General features: G+C 37.8%; 2 annotated features.

The window, feature by feature from the left end:
• Positions 3,764–4,339: an enhancer, noted in NCBI's record as "OCT4-NANOG hESC enhancer chr2:186448047-186448622 (GRCh37/hg19 assembly coordinates)". NCBI's record gives its function as "activates a minimal SCP1, AML or CMV promoter by ChIP-STARR-seq in primed H9 embryonic stem cells {active_cell/tissue: H9 hESC(primed)}" and the evidence as "EXISTENCE:reporter gene assay evidence [ECO:0000049][PMID:30033119]".
• Positions 3,846–4,140: a silencer, noted in NCBI's record as "tiled region #9118; K562 Repressive non-DNase unmatched - State 24:Quies". NCBI's record gives its function as "represses a minimal TATA promoter and a strong SV40 promoter by Sharpr-MPRA in K562 cells {active_cell/tissue: K562}" and the evidence as "EXISTENCE:reporter gene assay evidence [ECO:0000049][PMID:27701403]".

The raw sequence follows: 18,116 nt of genomic DNA on the forward strand, positions 1-18,116 counted from the left end.
TTCATTTTTGAATAATAATTACTGTTGTTCTGAAACTCTCAGAAGTCTGAGATACCACACTTACCAGTGCATTTCCTTCAACCAGTATACCATACCAACCAGTTTATCACTGGTGAAAGTATTAACAGTTTCACCGTCAGTTTGAACCATGGTCTGTTTGTGCTTCACCTTTAACCAGTGAGTGATTGAGTCCTCACTGCAATTGATGATGCCTATGGCAATGTACTATGCCAAGTACCAGACACAAAAGATATACTTGGAAATATAAATAAGGTACATAATCTGAAGCATAGCACTCCTGGGGTTCAGGGCCCCAACAGGCAGTACTGCCTGCCCAGGTCTATGAGTGGTAACATATTCAGCTTTAGCCACACAAATACTTCCTCTTAATGTGTATTCCAATTTATATTCCTACCAGCAGTATTCAAACTGCTCAAAATACTTGCCAGCCTCTTTTTCATTTCAGGTATTATTTTAGATTTATAATAATATCAATTTTTAGTTCTGCTTTTTATTTTTCTAATGGCTAATAGTTTCACATGTTTTTCAAAAATTTTAACAATTTAAATGCCCTTTTGGGGAAACACTCAATTTTCTATTGAATTATTATTATTATTACTATTATTTTTTTGAGATTAAGTCTCACTCTTGTCCCCCAGGCTGGAGTGCAATGGCGTGATCTCGGCTCACTGTAACCTCCGCCTCCCAGATTCAAGCAATTCTCCTGCCTCAGCCTCTCAAGTAGCTGGGACTACAGGTGCCCAACCACACCTAGTTAATTTTTTGTATTTTTAGTAGAAACGGGGTTTCACCATGTTAGCCAGGATGGTCTCGATCTCCTGACCTCGTGATCTGCCCGCCTCAGCCTCCCAGGTGCTGGGATTACAGGCGTGAGCCACCACGCCCGGCCCCTTATTATTAATTTTTAGGAGTTTTATATTCCAGATGTAAATTTGAGTAAAATTACTTAATTCTAATGTATCCATTTTATATTTTCTTGAACTTTATCAATTGCATTTTTATATCTGATTGTAATATCATTGTCTATCCCAAATAATCAAGCTATATTACATATTTTTTCCCAAAAGCTTTATTGTTTTACCTTTCACCTTTGGGTCAACTGTATATCATTTCATTGTTTTCTGGCTTTCACTGCTTATTTTGAGAAAATAAAATTCCTGTTGTTCTTCCTCTGATGTTAAACTGCGAAGCCATATTGCTCTACACTTTAGGGTAATGTTAAGATACGCTTAGCATCGTAGTTCTTATAATTATCTCTTTTAGAATCTGTGTAGCTTTAGAATTTTTGTAATGTTTATAATGTTCTTTCTCAGTTCGGGAGTTTGGGTGTATTTTTAATCCTATTCTTTTTTAATATTGCTTCTAAAATCTCACAAGATTTTAAGAATATTTTATATAATTCTTTTTTTTTTCTTCAGGAGGTAAATTTTATGAAAAAAAAACTTTCTTCTCTCTCAAATACTATACTTTGAACTGTTCTTTTTTACAATTCTTTTTTCTCCTGAATGTCTTGTTATAATAATCCAACATAGGTCCAAGATTAATGTATGAGTGAATCACAGATATTAAGAAGCCATTGAATATTTTCAGCAGTGGAATCACATTCCCAGATGTACATCTTAAAAAGAATACTTTTTCTGTAATATTAAGAAAAAATAAACGTATATTAAGTACTAAAATCAGGAAAGACATTTAAATGTTTCCCACTAGTCAGATAAGTGATGAGAGTGATCAGAAGAGGAACCAGATGGGGAAAAATATTATGAACTGAAATGTTAATCCGAATTCAAAATAATTCTTTATTATTTGTGATGAGAATATAGTCAATCTATTTCATACTAAGATTAAGATGTGTCTAGGGTAAGTTCTTAAAATCCAAACTATTTCCAGTGAAATTATTACCATAACAATACAGAGGAGACAATTATTCTTACAAGTATTTCTTGCAGCAGCACACTGATTTGCCTGTTATGAGTTTCCACATTTAAACAGTATTGGTAATGTGAGAATATTATATACTCCACTTTATTTTAAACAGAGTAGTGCCAAATTGGTGTTCTTTCTGTCAAAATAGTGCAGATTATAACCAAAAGAAATAAACAAAAGAAAATAGAATAAATAACACATTCCCCAGGCACTAAGCAGTAAGCTGAAAGAGGAAAGTCTGTTTTCAGTGTATCATGACAGACCACAGCAGGCTTCTTCGTGGGAAATGCTACAAGGCATATTTCAATTGAAGAAATGAGCTTTAATAGGAATTCAATTTTACACATAAATGTATACTGTGTGATAATCTCAAGTCTATTCAACAGCTGGATCTCAGGATTAGAATGAAGATGACAGAAGCATAGAGAATTATGTTCCTACAGAGTGAGAAAAATCCCATTAACTTTTAATGACCTATTTTTGTTAGGCTTTTAGTTTAAAACTATGACATAACCTACTGGTTATTGTGTATTATTTTATGAGTTAGACTCAGAGTGTACAAAATAAGTTGCACATATTTTCTTAATAATAGTCATTTTAATTTAGGGAGTCAGTCAAAGGCCAAGGTAGGTGTTTAGAGACTATTTTAGAAGTGGCACAGAGAAACCTAAGGGATAACTTATGCAAAACAGGAAAGTTTTGAATGCCATCAAAATTCATAGTAGTATACATCTAGAAATTAAATCTCAGTGCTGTGGTAGTTCCTGTACCACTCAATACTTCCTTGGTTCATCTATCTGCACAGCTGTCATCTTACAACAACAACAAAGCCTTTTATGACCAGCTAATGGTTTATGTTATTAGTTTAATTATTGTCTGGCCACTTAGAGACTCAACTTATTGGAAAGAAAATGGTGATTACCACAACTGAAAACTCCCTCGTCTCACATTTTATTCAGGACACTACCTCATAGATTTATTACTTTGATGTTTTATAGAAAGGAAAGTTTAAACATTTTATTATTGAATTTTGTGTTATATACAATAACGCTTAAATATTTCTTTTGCAAGTTTTTAAATAGTGAGTCTCATAAATTTTCTCCACTTGATTACTTATCTGCATTAGATCATGTTACAATAAAAAAAAACAGTACTAACTGTGTTGCAGATACTGTGCTAAATATTTGATATGTGTATGTTTATATAAGACTTGGCTCATTCCTTAATAGGAGAGGGAGGCAGAGCAAGATGGCTGAATAGAACTCTGCTGCAATCATCCTCCCACAGAGACATCGAACTGAACAACTATGTACACAAGAAAGGACCTTCAGTAATAACCAAAAAAAATCAGACAAGCCATCACAGTACCTGATGTTAACATAATATCAAAGACAGAAGCATCAAAGAGGGCAGAAAACAATCTTGTAATGCCTACACCATCCTTCTCTCATCCCATATCAGCACCGTGGAGAAAAGCTTGTGCTCTTTGGGGAGGAAGAGTTGAGTGTGTGTCTATGCAATGTAACTCAGTGCTGACCTGTCATGGCGAAACAAAACATAGGGTAGAATTTTGTTGCAGCTCACAGAGGCAGCATTTAGACCAGCCCAGGGCCAGAGAGGAACTTTTCTCAGCCCCAGCTCATTAAACATAAGTCCTGGCTGGCTCCACCACTGGTGAACTAACATGGCCTATGGCCAAGAATAAATTTGGATGGTAGTCAGATCACAAGGACTGCAGTCCTTGGGCAAGCCTTGGTGCTGTGCTGGTCTCAGAAGCAGTGGCATTGGGGTGCACATTACAGTGCAACACTGCCTGTGGTGGCCAAGGTAGTATCTACTTCACCTGTCTACCAACTCCAGGAAGTAGAGGTCAAAGAGAGACTCTTTCTATTTGGGGAAAGGAGAGGGAAGAGTACAGAGAACTTTGTCCTTCAACTTAAGTACCAGGTCAATGACAGTAAAATAAAGCACCAAGTAGATTCCTAAAGTTTCCAATTCCAGGTCTTCCGCATAGCATTTCTACCCCCATCCTGGGCCAGAATGGAATGTGCTGCCAGGAAGGGAAGAACCCATTACAACAAGAATCACCACCTGCTGACTCACAGCCCTTGGGTCTTGAATAAACATCAGTGGTAGCCAGGTATTAGTCACCACAGGTCTTGTGCAAAATCTCAGGAATGACCCAGTGCCATGCCAGCTGTGGTGGCCACAAGACTGCCCATGTCACCCCTCTCCCAACTCCAGGCAGCACAGAATGTGGAGATTCTTATGCCGATTTGTGGGGGAAGAGTGGGAAGAGGGCAAGATACTTTGTCTGATAACTAAGTAAATTCTCTCTTATTTTACCCAGCCCTACTAAAGTGGTGCCTGTAGGAGTTGGCAAGAATTAGAGCATTCTTGGGCTTAGGGCACCCTTTAGTGCTGATATGGATGCAGTGACCACAGGTTTAGATCGCAACATTGAGTCTACTCTGAATACATAAAAAACCTGCTAAAGAAAGATGCCCAGACAAACAACCCCAGACAGCAAAGACTGGAATAAATACCTAACTCTTCAATGCCCAGACATCAACAAATGTTCACAGTCATCATGCATATCCAGGAAAACACAACCTCACCAAACTAAATAAGGTGTAAATGGAATGACTAAGAAATGTGATCTTTCAGAGAATTCAAAATAGTGGCCTTGAGCAAACTAAGTGAACTTCAAGATACCCAGAGGAGAAATTCTAAATTCTGTCATAGAAATTTAACATTAAGATTGAAACAGTTTTTTAAAATCAAGCTGAAATTCTGGAGCTGAAAAATTTAACTGGCAAATTGAAAATATGCATGAGTCTCTCAACAACAGAACCAATCAAGAAGAAGAAAAAAATAGTGAGTTTGAAGACAAGCTATATGAAAATGCAATCAGAAGAAAAAAAAATAAAGAAAAATAGAAAAAAAGTAAAACATACCTACAAGATCTAGAAAATAGCCTCAAAAAGGCAATTCTAAGAGTTATCGGCCATAAAGAAGACATAGAGAGAGTGATCTGAGTAGAAAGTTAATGCAAAGGAATAATAACAGTAATTTCCAAGCCTAGAGGAAGATATGAATAACCAGATACAAAAAGGTCATAGAACTCTAAGAAGATTCAACCCTAATAAGACTGGCTCAAGGCATACATTAGTTAAACTGTAAAGGTTAGAAATAAAGAAAGGGTCCTAAAAGCAGTAAGAGGAAAGAAGCAAATCACAAATAAAGGGGCTCCAATATGCCCGGCAACAGACTTCTCAAGAGAAACGTTTTAGGACAGAAGAGAGTAGGATAAAATATTCAGTGCTGAAGGAAAAGTACTGTCAACCTAGAATAACATATCCAGGAAAATTATCCTTCAAACATGAAAGAGAAATATTTTTCCTGACAAACAAAAGCTAAGGGATTTTTTTCAGCACAAGACCTGTCGTACGAGATATGCTAAAGGAAATTTTTCAGTTTGAAAGGAAAGGACACTAATGAACAACCAGAAATCACCTGCTAACGGTAAATACATAAATACAGAATTGCCAAGGCCAGCTTGGTCTTGGAGACCCTAACCCAACGGCACTAGAGGAATTAAAGACACACACACAGAAATATAGAGTGTGGAGTGGGAAATCAGGGGACTCACAGCCTTCAGAGCTAAGAGCCTGGAACAGAGTTTTACCCACATATTTATTGACAGCAAGCCAGTGATAAGCATTGTTTCTGTAGATTATAGATTAACTAAAAGTATTCCTTATGGGAAACAAAGGGATGGGCCAAAACAAAGGGATGTGCTCTGGCTAGTTATCTGCAGCAGGAACATGTCCTTAAGGCACAGATTGCTCATGCTATGGTTTGTGGTTTAGGAACCTTTAAGCAATTTTCCGCCCTGGGTGTGCCAGGTATTCCTTGACCTCATTCCGGTAAACCTACAACCTTCAGCGTGGGCGTCATGGCCATCACGAACATGTCACAGTGCTGCAGAGATTTTCTTTATGGCCAGTTTTGGGGCCAGTTTATGGCCAGATCTGGGGGCCTGTTCTCAACAGAGAATAGTGTGACACTGTAATTGCAATCTGGAAACCACTCATATCTTTAGTATAAGAAAGAAAGACAAACCTATCAAAAACAATAGCTACAACAATTTTTAAGAGATGGTTTAAAAAGATCTGAATAAAGACAACAGAAAGTAGAAAAGTTAGAGGATTGAAGTTAAAGTGTAGAGTTTTTATTTTTTATTATACTTTAAGTTCTAGGGTACATGTGCACAATGTGCAGATTTGTTACATATGTATACATGTGCCTTGTTGGTGTGCTGCACCCATTAACTCGTCATTTACATTAGGTATTTCTCCTTTTTTTAATTTAATTTTATTTATTTATTTTTTTATTATACTTTAAGTTTTAGGGTACATGTGCACATTGTGCAGGTTAGTTACATATGTATACATGTGCCATGCTGGTGCGCTGCACCCACTAACTCATCATCTAGCATTAGGTATATCTCCCAATGCTATCCCTCCCCGCTCCCCCCACCCCAAAACAGTCCCTAGAGTGTGATATTCCCCTTCCTGTGTCCATGTGATCTCATTGTTCAATTCCCACCTACGAGTGAGAATATGCGGTGTTTGGTTTTTTGTTCTTGCGATAGTTTACTGAGAATGATGATTTCCAATTTCATCCATGTCCCTACAAATGACATGAACTCATCATTTTTTATGGCTGCATAGTATTCCATGGTGTATATGTGCCACATTTTCTTAATCCAGTCTATCATTGTTGGACATTTGGGTTGGTTCCAAGACTTTGCTATTGTGAATAATGCCGCAATAAACATACGTGTGCATGTGTCTTTATAGCAGCATGATTTATAATCCTTTGGGTATATACCCAGTAATGGGATGGCTGGGTCAAATGGTATTTCTAGTTCTAGATCCCTGAGGAATCGCCACACTGACTTCCACAATGGTTGAACTAGTTTACAGTCCCACCAACAGTGTAAAAGTGTTCCTATTTCTCCACATCCTCTCCAGCACCTGTTGTTTCCTGAATTTTTAATGATTGCCATTCTAACTGGTGTGAGATGGTATCTCATTGTGGTTTTGATTTGCATTTCTCTGATGGCCAGTGATGGTGAGCATTTTTTCATGTGTTTTTTGGCTGCATAAATGTCTTCTTTTGAGAAGTGTCTGTTCATGTCCTTTGCCCACTTTTTGATGGGGTTGTTTGTTTTTCTCTTGTAAATTTGTTAGAGTTCATTGTAGATTCTGAATATTAGCCCTTTGTCAGATGAGTAGGTTGCGAAAATTTTCTCCCATTTTGTAGGTTGCCTGTTCACTCTGATGGCAGTTTCTTTTGCTGTGCAGAAGCTCTTTAGTTTAATTAGATCCCATTTGTCAATTTGTCTTTTGTTGCCATTGCTTTTGGTGTTTTAGACATGAAGTCCTTGCCCATGCCTATGTCCTGAATGGTAATGCCTAGATTTTCTTCTAGAGTTTTTATGGTTTTAGGTCTAATGTTTAAGTCTTTAATCCATCTTGAATTGATTTTTGTATAAGCTGTAAGGAAGGGATCCAGTTTCAGCTTTCTACATATGGCTAGCCAGTTTTCCCAGCACCATTTATTAAATAGGGAATCCTTTCCCCATTGCTTGTTTCTCTCAGGTTTGTCAAAGATCAGATAGTTGTAGATATGTGGCGTTATTTCTGAGGGCTCTGTTCTGTTCCATTGATCTATATCTCTGTTTTGGTACCAGTACCATGCTGTTTTGGTTACTGTAGCCTTGTAGTATAGTTTGAAGGCAGGCAGTGTGATGCCTCCAGCTTTGTTCTTTTGGCTTAGGATTGACTTGGTGATGTGGGCTCTTTTTTGGTTCCATATGAACTTTAAAGTAGTTTTTTCCAATTCTGTGAAGAAAGTCTTTGGTAGCTTGATGGGAATGGCATTGAATCTGTAAATTCCCTTGGGCAGTATGGCCATTTTCACGATATTGATTCTTCCTACCCATGAGCATGGAATGTTCTTCCATTTGTTTGTATCCTCTTTTATTTCCTTGAGCAGTGGTTTGTAGTTCTCCTTGAAGAGGTCCTTCACATTCCTTGTAAGTTGGATTCCTAGGTATTTTATTCTCTTTGAAGCAATTGTGAATGGGAGTTCACTCATGATTTGGCTCTCTGTTTGTCTGTTATTGGTGTATAAGAATGCTTGTGATTTTTGTACATTAATTTTGTATCCTGAGACTTTGCTGAAGTTGCTTATCAGCTTAAGGAGATTTTGGGCTGAGACAATGAGTTTTTCTAGATATACAATCATGTCATCAGCAAAGAGGGACAATTTGACTTCCTCTTTTCCTAATTGAATACCCTTTATTTCCTTCTCCTGCCTAATTGCCCTGGCCAGAACTTCCAACACTATATTGAATAGGAGTGGTGAGAGAGGGCATCCCTGTCTTGTGCCAGTTTTCAAAGGGAATGCTTCCAGTTTTTGCCCATTCAGTATGATATTGGCTGTGGGTTTGTCATAGATAGCTCTTATTATTTTGAAATACGTCCCAGCAGTACCTAATTTATTGAGAGTTTTTAGCATGAAGGGTTGTTGAATTTTGTCAAAGGCTTTTTCTGCATCTATTGAGATAATCATGTGGTTTTTGTCTTTGGCTCTGTTTATATGCTGGATTACATTTATTGATTTGCGTATATTGAACCAGCCTTGCATCCCAGAGATGAAGCCCACTTGATCATGGTGGATAAGCTTTTTGATGTGCTGCTGGATTCATTTTGCCAGTATTTTATTGAGGATTTTTGCTTCAATGTTCATCAAGGATATTGGTCTAAAATTCTCTTTTTTTGTTGTGTCTCTGCCTGGCTTTGGTATCAGAATGATGCTGGCTTCATAAAATGAGTTAGGGAGGATTCCCTCTTTTTCTATTGATTGGAATAGTTTCAGAAGGAATGGTACCAGTTCCTCCTTGTACCTCCGGTAGAATTCGGCTGTGAATCCATCTGGTCCTGGACTCTTTTTCGTTGGTAAGCTATTGATTATTGCCACAATTTCAGATCCTGTTACTGGTCTATTCAGAGATTCAAATTCTTCCTGGTTTAGTCTTGGGAGTGTGTATGTGTCGAGGAATTTATCCATTTCTTCTAGATTTTCTAGTTTATTTGCGTAGAGGTGTTTGTAGTATTCTCTGACGGTAGTTTGTATTTCTGTGGGATCGGTGGTGATATCCCCTTTATCATTTTTTATTGTGTCTATTTGATTCTTCTCTCTTTTTTTCTTTATTAGTCTTGCTAGTGGTCTATCAATTTTGTTGATCCTTTCAAAAAACCAGCTCCTGGATTCATTAATTTTTTGAAGGGTTTTTTGTGTCTCTATTTCCTTCAGTTCTGCTCTGATTTTAGTTATTTCTTGCCTTCTACTAGCTTTGGAATGTGTTTGCTCTTGCTTTTCTAGTTCTTTTAATTGTGATGTTAGGGTGTTGATTTTGGATCTTTCCTGCTTTCTCTTGTGGGCATTTAGTGCTAAGAATTTCCCTCTACACACTGCTTTGAATGTGTCCCAGAGATTCTGGCATGTTGCGTCTTTATTCTCATTGTTTTTAAAGAACATCTTTATTTCTGCCTTCATTTCGTTATGTACCCAGTAGTCATTCAGGAGCAGGTTGTTCAGTTTCCATGCAGTTGAGCGGATTTGAGTGAGTTTCTTAATCCTGAGTTCTAGTTTGATTGCACTGTGGTCTGAGAGATAGTTTGTTATAATTTCTGTTCTTTTACATTTGCTGAGGAGAGCTTTACTTCCAAGTATGTGGTCAATTTTGGAATAGGTGTGGTGTGGTGCTGAAAACAATGTATATTCTGTTGATTTGGGTTGGAGAGTTCTATAGATGTCTATTAGGTCCACTTGGTGCAGAGCTGAGTTCAATTCCTGGGTATCCTTGTTGACTTTCTGTCTCGTTAATCTGTCTAATGTTGACAGTGGGGTGTTAAAGTCTCCCATTATTAATGTGTGGGAGTCTAAGTCTCTTTGTAGGTCACTCAGGACTTGCATTATGAATCTGGGTGCTCCTGTGTTGGGTGCATATACATTTAGGATAGTTAGCTTTTCTTGTTGAATTGATCCCTTTACCATTATGTAATGGCCTTCTTTGTCTCTTTTGATCTTTGTTGGTTTAAAGTCTGTTTTATCAGAGATGTGGATTGCAACCCCTGCCTGTTTTTGTTTTCCATTGGCTTGGTAGATCTTCCTCCATCCTTTTATTTTGAGCCTATGTGTGTCTCTGCACGTGAGATGGGTTTCCGGAATATAGCACACTGATGGGTCTTGACTCTTTATCCAATTTGCCAGTCTGTGTCTTTTAATTGGAGCATTTAGTCCATTTACATTTAAAGTTAATATTGTTATGTGTGAATTTGATCCTGTCATTATGATGTTACCTGGTTATTTTGCTCATTAGTTGATGCAGTTTCTTCCTAGTCTTGATGGTCTTTACATTTTGGCATGATTTTGCAGCGGCTGGTACCGGTTGTTCCTTTCCATGTTTAGCTCTTCCTTCAGGAGCTCTTTTAGGGCGGGCCTGGTGGTGACAAAATCTCTCAGCATTTGCTTGTCTGTAAAGTATTTTATTTCTCCTTCACTTATGAAGCTTAGTTTGGCTGGATATGAAATTCTGGGTTGAAAATTCTTTTCTTTAAGAATGTTGAATATTGGCCCCCACTCTCTTCTGGCTTGTAGGCTTTCTGCCGAGAGATCCACTGTTAGTCTGATGGGCTTCCCTTTGAGGGTAACCCGACCTTTCTCTCTGGCTGCCCTTAACATTTTTTCCTTCATTTCAACTTTGGTGAATCTGACAATTACGTGTCTTGGAGTTGGTCTTCTCGAGGAGTATCTTTGTGGTGTTCTCTGTATTTCCCGAATCTGAACGTTGGCCTGCCTTCCTAGATTGGGGAAGTTCTCCTGGATAATATCCTGCAGAGTGTTTTCCAACTTGGTTCCATTCTCCCTATCACTTTCAGGTACACCAATCAGACGTAGATTTGGTCTTTTCACATAGTCCCATATTTCTTGGAGGCTTTGCTCATTTCTTTTTATTCTTTTTTCTCTAAACTTCCCTTATGGCTTCATTTCATTCATTTCATCTTCCATCGCTGATACCCTTTCTTCCAGTTGATCGCATCGGCTCCTGAGGCTTCTGCATTCTTCACGTAGGTCTCGAGCCTTGGTTTTCAGCTCCATCAGCTCCTTTAAGCACCTCTCTGTATTGGTTATTCTAGTTATACATTCTTCTAAATTTTTTTCAAAGTTTTCAACTTCTTTGCCTTTGGTTTGAATGTCCTCCCATAGCTCAGAGTAATTTGATCGTCTGTAGCCTTCTTCTCTCAGCTCGTCAAAGTCTTTCTCCATCCAGCTTTGTTCCGTTGCTGGTAAGGAACTGTGTTCCTTTGGAGGAGGAGAGGCGCTCTGCTTTTTAGAGTTTCCAGTTTTTCTGTTCTGTTTTTTCCCCATCTTTGTGGTTTTTATCTACTTTTGGTCTTTGATGATGGTGATGTACAGATGGGTTTTCGGTGTGGATGTCCTTTCTGTTTGTTAGTTTTCCTTCTAACAGACAGGACCCTCATCTGCAAGTCTGTTGGAATACCCTGACTTGTGAGATGTCAGTGTGCCCCTGCTGGGGGGTGCCTCCCAGTTAGGCTGCTCGCGGGTCAGACCCACTTGAGGAGGCAGTCTGCCGGTTCTCAGATCTCCAGCTGCGTGCTGGGAGAACCACTGCTCTCTTCAAAGCTGTCAGACAGGGACATTTAAGTCTGCAGAGGTTACTGCTGTCTTTTTGTTTGTCTGTGCCCTGCCCCCAGAGGTGGAGCCTACAGAGGCAGGTAGGCCTCCTTGAGCTGTGGTGGGCTCCACCCAGTTCAAGCTTCCCAGCTGCTTTGTTTACCTAATCAAGCCTGGGCAATGGCGGGCGCCCCTCCCCCAGCTTCACTGCCGCCTTGCAGTTTGATCTCAGACTGCTGTGCTAGCAATCAGCGAGACTCCGTGGGTGTAGGACCCTCCGAGCCAGGTATGGGAGATAATCTCGTGGTGCGCCGTTTTTTAAGCCCGTCGGAAAAGCGCAGTATTCAGGTGGGAGTGACCCGATTTTCCAGGTGCCGTCTGTCACCCCTTTCTTTGACTCGGAAAGGGAACTCCCTGACCCCTTGCACTTCCCAAGTGAGGCAGTGCCTCGCCCTGCTTCGGCTCGTGCACGGTGCGCACACCCACTGACCTGCACCCACTGTCTGGCACTCCCTAGTGAGATGAAGCCGGTACCTCAGATGGAAATGCAGAAATCACCATCTTCTGCGTTGCTCACGCTGGGAGCTGTAGACTGGAGCTGTTCCTATTCGGCCATCTTGGCTCCTCCTTCTAGGTATTTCTCCTAATGCTATCCCTCCCCGCTCCCCACACCCCATGACAGGCCCCAGTGTGTGATGTTCCCCACCCTGTGCCCAAGTGTCCTCATTGTTCAATTCCCACCTATGAGTGAGAACATGTGGTGTTTGGTTTCCTGTCCTTGTGATAGTTTGCTCAGAATGATGGTTTTTGGCTTCATCCATGTCCGTACAAAGGATATGAACTCATCCTTTTTTATGGCTGCATAGTATTCCATGGTGTATCTGTGCCACATTTTCTTAATACAGTCTATCATTGATGGACATTTGGGTTGATTCCAAGTATTTGTTATTGTGAATAGTGCCGCAGTAAACATATGTGTGCATGTGTCTTTATAGCAGCATGATTTATAATCCTTTGGGTATATACCCAGTAAAGGGATGGCTGGGTCAAATGGTATTTCTAGTTCTAGTTCCTTGAGAAATCGCCACACTGTCTTCCACAATGGTTGAACTAGATTACAGTCCCACCAACAGCATAAAAGTGTTCCTATTTCTTCACATCCTCCCCAGCACCTGTTTCCTGACTTTTTAATGATCGCCATTCTAACTGGTGTGATTTGGTATCTCATTGTGGTTTTGATTTGCATTTCTCTGATGGCCAGTGATGATGAGCATTTTTTCATGTGCCTGTTGGCTGCATAAATATCTTCTTTTGAGAAGTATCTGTTCATATCCTTTGCCCACTTTTTGATGGAATTGTATGATTTTTTTTTCTTGTAAATTTGTTTAAGTTATTTGTAGATTCTGGATATTAGCCCTGTCAGATGGGTAGATTGTAAAAATTTTCTCCCATTCTGTAGGTTGCCTGTTCACTCTGATGGTAGTTTTTTTTGTTGTTGTTTTGTTTTGTTTTGTTTGTTTGTTTTGCTGTGCAGAAGCTCTTTAGTTTAATTAGATCCCATTTGTCTATATTGCTTTTGTTGCCATTGTTTTTGTTGTTTTAATCATGAAGTACTTGCCCATGCCTATGTCCTAAATGGTATTGCCTAGATTTTCTTCTAGGGTTTTTATGGTTTTAGGTCTAACATTTAAGTCTTCAATCCATCTTGAATTAATTTTTGTATAAGCTGTAAGGAAGGGATCCAGTTTCAGCTTTCTACATATGGCTAGCCAGTTTTCCCAGCACCATTTATTAAATAGGGAATCCTTTCCCCAGTTTTGTTTTTGTCAGGTTTGTCAAAGATCAGATGGTTGTAGATGTGTGGTATTATTTCTGAGGGCTCTGTTCTGTTCCATTGGTCTATATCTCTGTTTTGGTACCAGTACCATGCTGTTTTGGTTACTGTATCCTTGTAGTATAGATTGAAGTCAGGTAGCATGATGCCTGCAGCTTTGTTCTTTTGGCTTAGGATTGTCTTGTCAATGTGGGCTCTCTTTTGGTTCCATATGAACTTTAAAGTAGTTCCTTCCAATTCTGTGAAGAAAGTCATCGGTAACTTGATGGGGATGGCATTGAATCTATAAATTACCTTGGGCAGTATGGCCATTTTCACGGTATTGATTCTTCCTATCCATAAGCATGGAATGTTCTTCCATTTGTTTGTGTCCTCTTTTATTTCATTGAGCAGTGGTTTGTAGTTCTCCTTGAAGAGGTCCTTCACTTCCCTTGTAAGTTGGATTCCTAGGTATTTTATTCTCTTTGAAGCTATTGTGAATGAGAGTTCACTCATGATTTGGCTCTCTGTCTGTTATTGGTGTACAGGAATGCTTGTGATTTTTGCATATTTATTTTGTATCCTGAGACTTTGCTGAAGTTGCTTACCAGCTTAAGGAGACTGTGGGCTGAGATGATGGGGTTTTCTAAATATACAATCATGTCATCTGCAAACAGGGACAATTTGGCTTCCTGTTTTCCTAATTGAATACCCTTTATTTCTTTCTTCCGCCTGATTGCCCTGGCCAGAATTTCCAACACTATATTGAATAGGAATGGTGAGACAGGGCATCCCTGTCTTGTGCCAGTTTTCAAAGGGAATACTTCTAGTTTTTGCCCATTCAGTATGATATTGGCTGTGGGTTTATCATAAATAGCTCTTATTATTTTGAGATATGTCCCATCAATACCTACTTTATTGAGAGTTTTTAGCATGAAGGGCTGTTGAATTTTGTTGAAGCCCTTTTCTTCATCAAAGTGTAGAGTTTTTAAATTTTCTCCTTGTTTGTTTGCTTTTATCATCATTATTTTTAATCAGAATTAAGCTGTCATCAGTTAAAAATAATTGGTTATAAGATGTTATTTACAAGCCTTTGGAACTGCAAAATAGGAACTGGTAACAGATGCACAGAAAACTAAAAGCAATAAATTAAAACATATTACAAAACAAAAATCATTTACACAAAAGAAAACAGTAAGAAAGGAAGAAAGAGAGAAATAGTCAGAAGACAAATTACATAATGGTAGTAGTAAGTTCATACCTATCAACATTAACATTGAATATAAATAAACTAAATTATAGGCCTAACAAACCACCATGGCACATGTATACCCATGTAACAAACCTGCACATTCAGCACATGTATCCCAGAGCTTAAAGTAAAATTAAAAAAAAGAAAAAATACGATACAAGAAACAATTCAATACAACACAAGAGACACACTTCACCTATAAAGACACACATAGACTGAAAGGAATGGAAATAGATATTCTATGAAAGTGGAAACCCAAAAAGAGCAGGACTAGCTATATTTATATCTGATAAAATATATTTCAAGAAAAAATTTTAGAAAGGTATAAATTCCCATTATACCATGATAGAGACAAATCCAGCAAGAAAATATAATAATTTTAAATATATATTCACCTGACACTTCAACACCCTACTTTCAGCATTGGACATATCAATTTTATCCAACAGCTGCAGAATACACAGTCGTCTCTTCAGAACACAAAACACTCTCAAAGATAGGCCATATGTTAGACCACGAAACAAGTCTCAAAAATTTTAAAAGAAAAAAGGAAATTTTATGAAGCATTTGTTCTGACCGCAGTATTAAAACTAAAAATTAATAGCAAGAATGTTGGAAAGTATACAAACCCATGGAGATTAAACAATATAATTTTGAATGACCATATGTTAATGAAGAAATTAATAGGGCAATTTAAAAATTTTCTTGAAACAAATGAAAATGAAAACACAAGTAGTATAACGTATGGGATAGAACAAAAGTAGCACAAAGAGGGAAATTTATGTTGATAAATGCCTATATCAAAATATCAGAAAAACTTCAAATGAAAACCTAATGATGCACCTTATAAAACTAGAGAAGCCAGACAAAACCAGATCCAAAATAAGTACAAAAAAATAGTAAAAATGCGAGCAGAAATAAATGCAATTGAGACCAAAAAAGTACCAAAGATCCAGAACAGGAAAAGTCATCTTTTAAAAGATAAGCAAAAATGATAAACCTAGCCAGACTAAGAAAAAAAAAGAGACACAAATAAATGAAATCCGAGATGAAAAATAAAACATTGCAACAAACATTACAGACATTCAAAGGATTATTAGAGGCTATTATGAGCAACTGCATGCCAATAAATTAGAAATCCTAGAGGAACTGATAAATTTCTAGATAAAAACAATGCACTAAGATTGAACCATGAAGATATCCAAAACCTAAATAGATGAAGAAACAAGTAACACAGTGACCAAAACAGCATGGTCCTGGTACAAAAACAGACAAATAGACCAAGAAAAACCAAATCGAAAGCCCAGAAATAAAGCCACATGCTTACAGCCATCTGATCTTTGACAATGTCAACAAAAAAAAGCAGTGGATAAACATCTGTAGATGACTAAAACAGGACACCGTACCTTTCACCATGTACAAAAATCAACTCAAGATAGATTAAGAGCTTAAAGATAAACCCTAATACCATAAAACTTCTTAAAGAAAACCTAGAAAATACCATTTTAGACATATGCCCTGGCAAAGATTTCATAATGAAGATCACAAAAGCACTTGCAACAACAACAAAAAAATGGACAAATGGGATTTACTTAAACTAAAGAGCTTCTGCACAGCAAAAGAAGCTACCAACAGAGTGAAAAAGACAACCTACAGAATGGGAAAAATATTTTCAAACTATGCATCTGACAAAAGTCTAATATTTAAACTATATTAGGCGTCTATAAGGAACATAAAAATTTTTCAAAAAAAAGCCCCCAAACAACCCCACTCAAAAATGGCCAAAGGACATGGACACTTTTCAAAAGAAAACATACATGGGGCCAGCAGCATATGAATAAAAGCTCAATATCACTGATGGATATGGTTTGGCTGTGTCTCTACCCAAATCTCATCTTGAATTTTAGCTCCCATAATCCCCACATGTGGGAGGGACCCAGTGGGAGGTAATTGAATCATGGGGGTAGGTTTTTCACATGCCATTCTCATGATAGTGAATAAATCTCATGAGATCTGATAGTTTTAAAAAGGGCATTTCCCCTGCACATGCTCTCCTGCCTGCCACCATGTAAGATGTGCCTTTACTCCTCCTTTGCCTTCCACCAGGATTGTGAGGCCTCCCCAGTTATGTGGAACTGTGAGTTTTTTAAACTTCTGTTTCTTTATAAGTTATCCAGTCTCAGGTATGTCTTTATTAGCCACATGAGAATAGACTAATACATTCTCTGATTACTAGAGAAATACAAATAAAAACCACAATGAGATACCATTCACACTAGTCAGAATGGCTACTATGAAAAAGTCAAAATAATAGATGCTGGCAAGGTTCTGGGGAAAAGGGAATGCGTATACACTGTTGGTGGGAGTGTAAATTAGTTCAACCATTATGGAAAGTAGTGTGACAATTTCTCTAAGAGCTAAAATCAGAACTGCCATTTGACCCAGCAATCCCATTACTGGCTATATACCCAAAGTAATAGAAATCATTCTATCATAAAGACACATGCACATGTATGTTCATTGCCATACTATTCACAATAGCAATGACATAAAAACAGACACATAGACCAATGAAACAGAATAGAGGACCCATAAATAAATCCACACATTTACAGTAAACTAATTTTTGATAAAAATGCCAAAAGACAAAAATGCCAAAATGCTACATTGGGGAAAGAACAATCTTCCATAAATGGTGCTGGGAAAACTGAATATCTACATGCAGAAGAATAAAACTAGACTCCTATTTCTCACCATATACAAAAACCAAACCAAAATGAATAAAATACTTACAAATACCTGAAACTATAAAACAGAAGGAAACTGTTAGAAAACACTCTAGGACATTGGTTTAGGCAGAGATTTCTTGAGTAAGACTACAAAAGCAAAAGCACAGGCAAATGAAGTAAAAATAGAATAACCGAACCATATCAAACTTAAAAGCTTCTGAACAGCAAAGTAAACAAGAAATTGAAAGACAACCCTCATATTGGGAAAAATATTTGCAAACAATCCATCTGAAATGAATTAATAATGAGAATATATAAAGTGCTCAAACAACTCAATAGGAAAAAATTTTGATTTAAAAATGTGCAAAACACACTTCTCAAAAGAGGACATACAAATGCCTAACAGATATACGAAAAAATAATAAACATCACTAATCATCAGAAAAATGCAAATCAAAACTACAATGAAACATTATCTCACCCCAGTTAAAATGTCTTTTCTTAAAAAGGCAGGCAATAATGAATGCTGGTGAGGATGTGGAGAAAGGGGAACACTTGTTCAGTGTTGATGAGAATAAAAATTGACACAGCTACTATGAAG

Source organism: Homo sapiens, chromosome 2 (assembly GCF_000001405.40).
Source record: "Homo sapiens chromosome 2, GRCh38.p14 Primary Assembly".
Taxonomy (NCBI): Eukaryota; Metazoa; Chordata; class Mammalia; order Primates; family Hominidae; genus Homo; species Homo sapiens.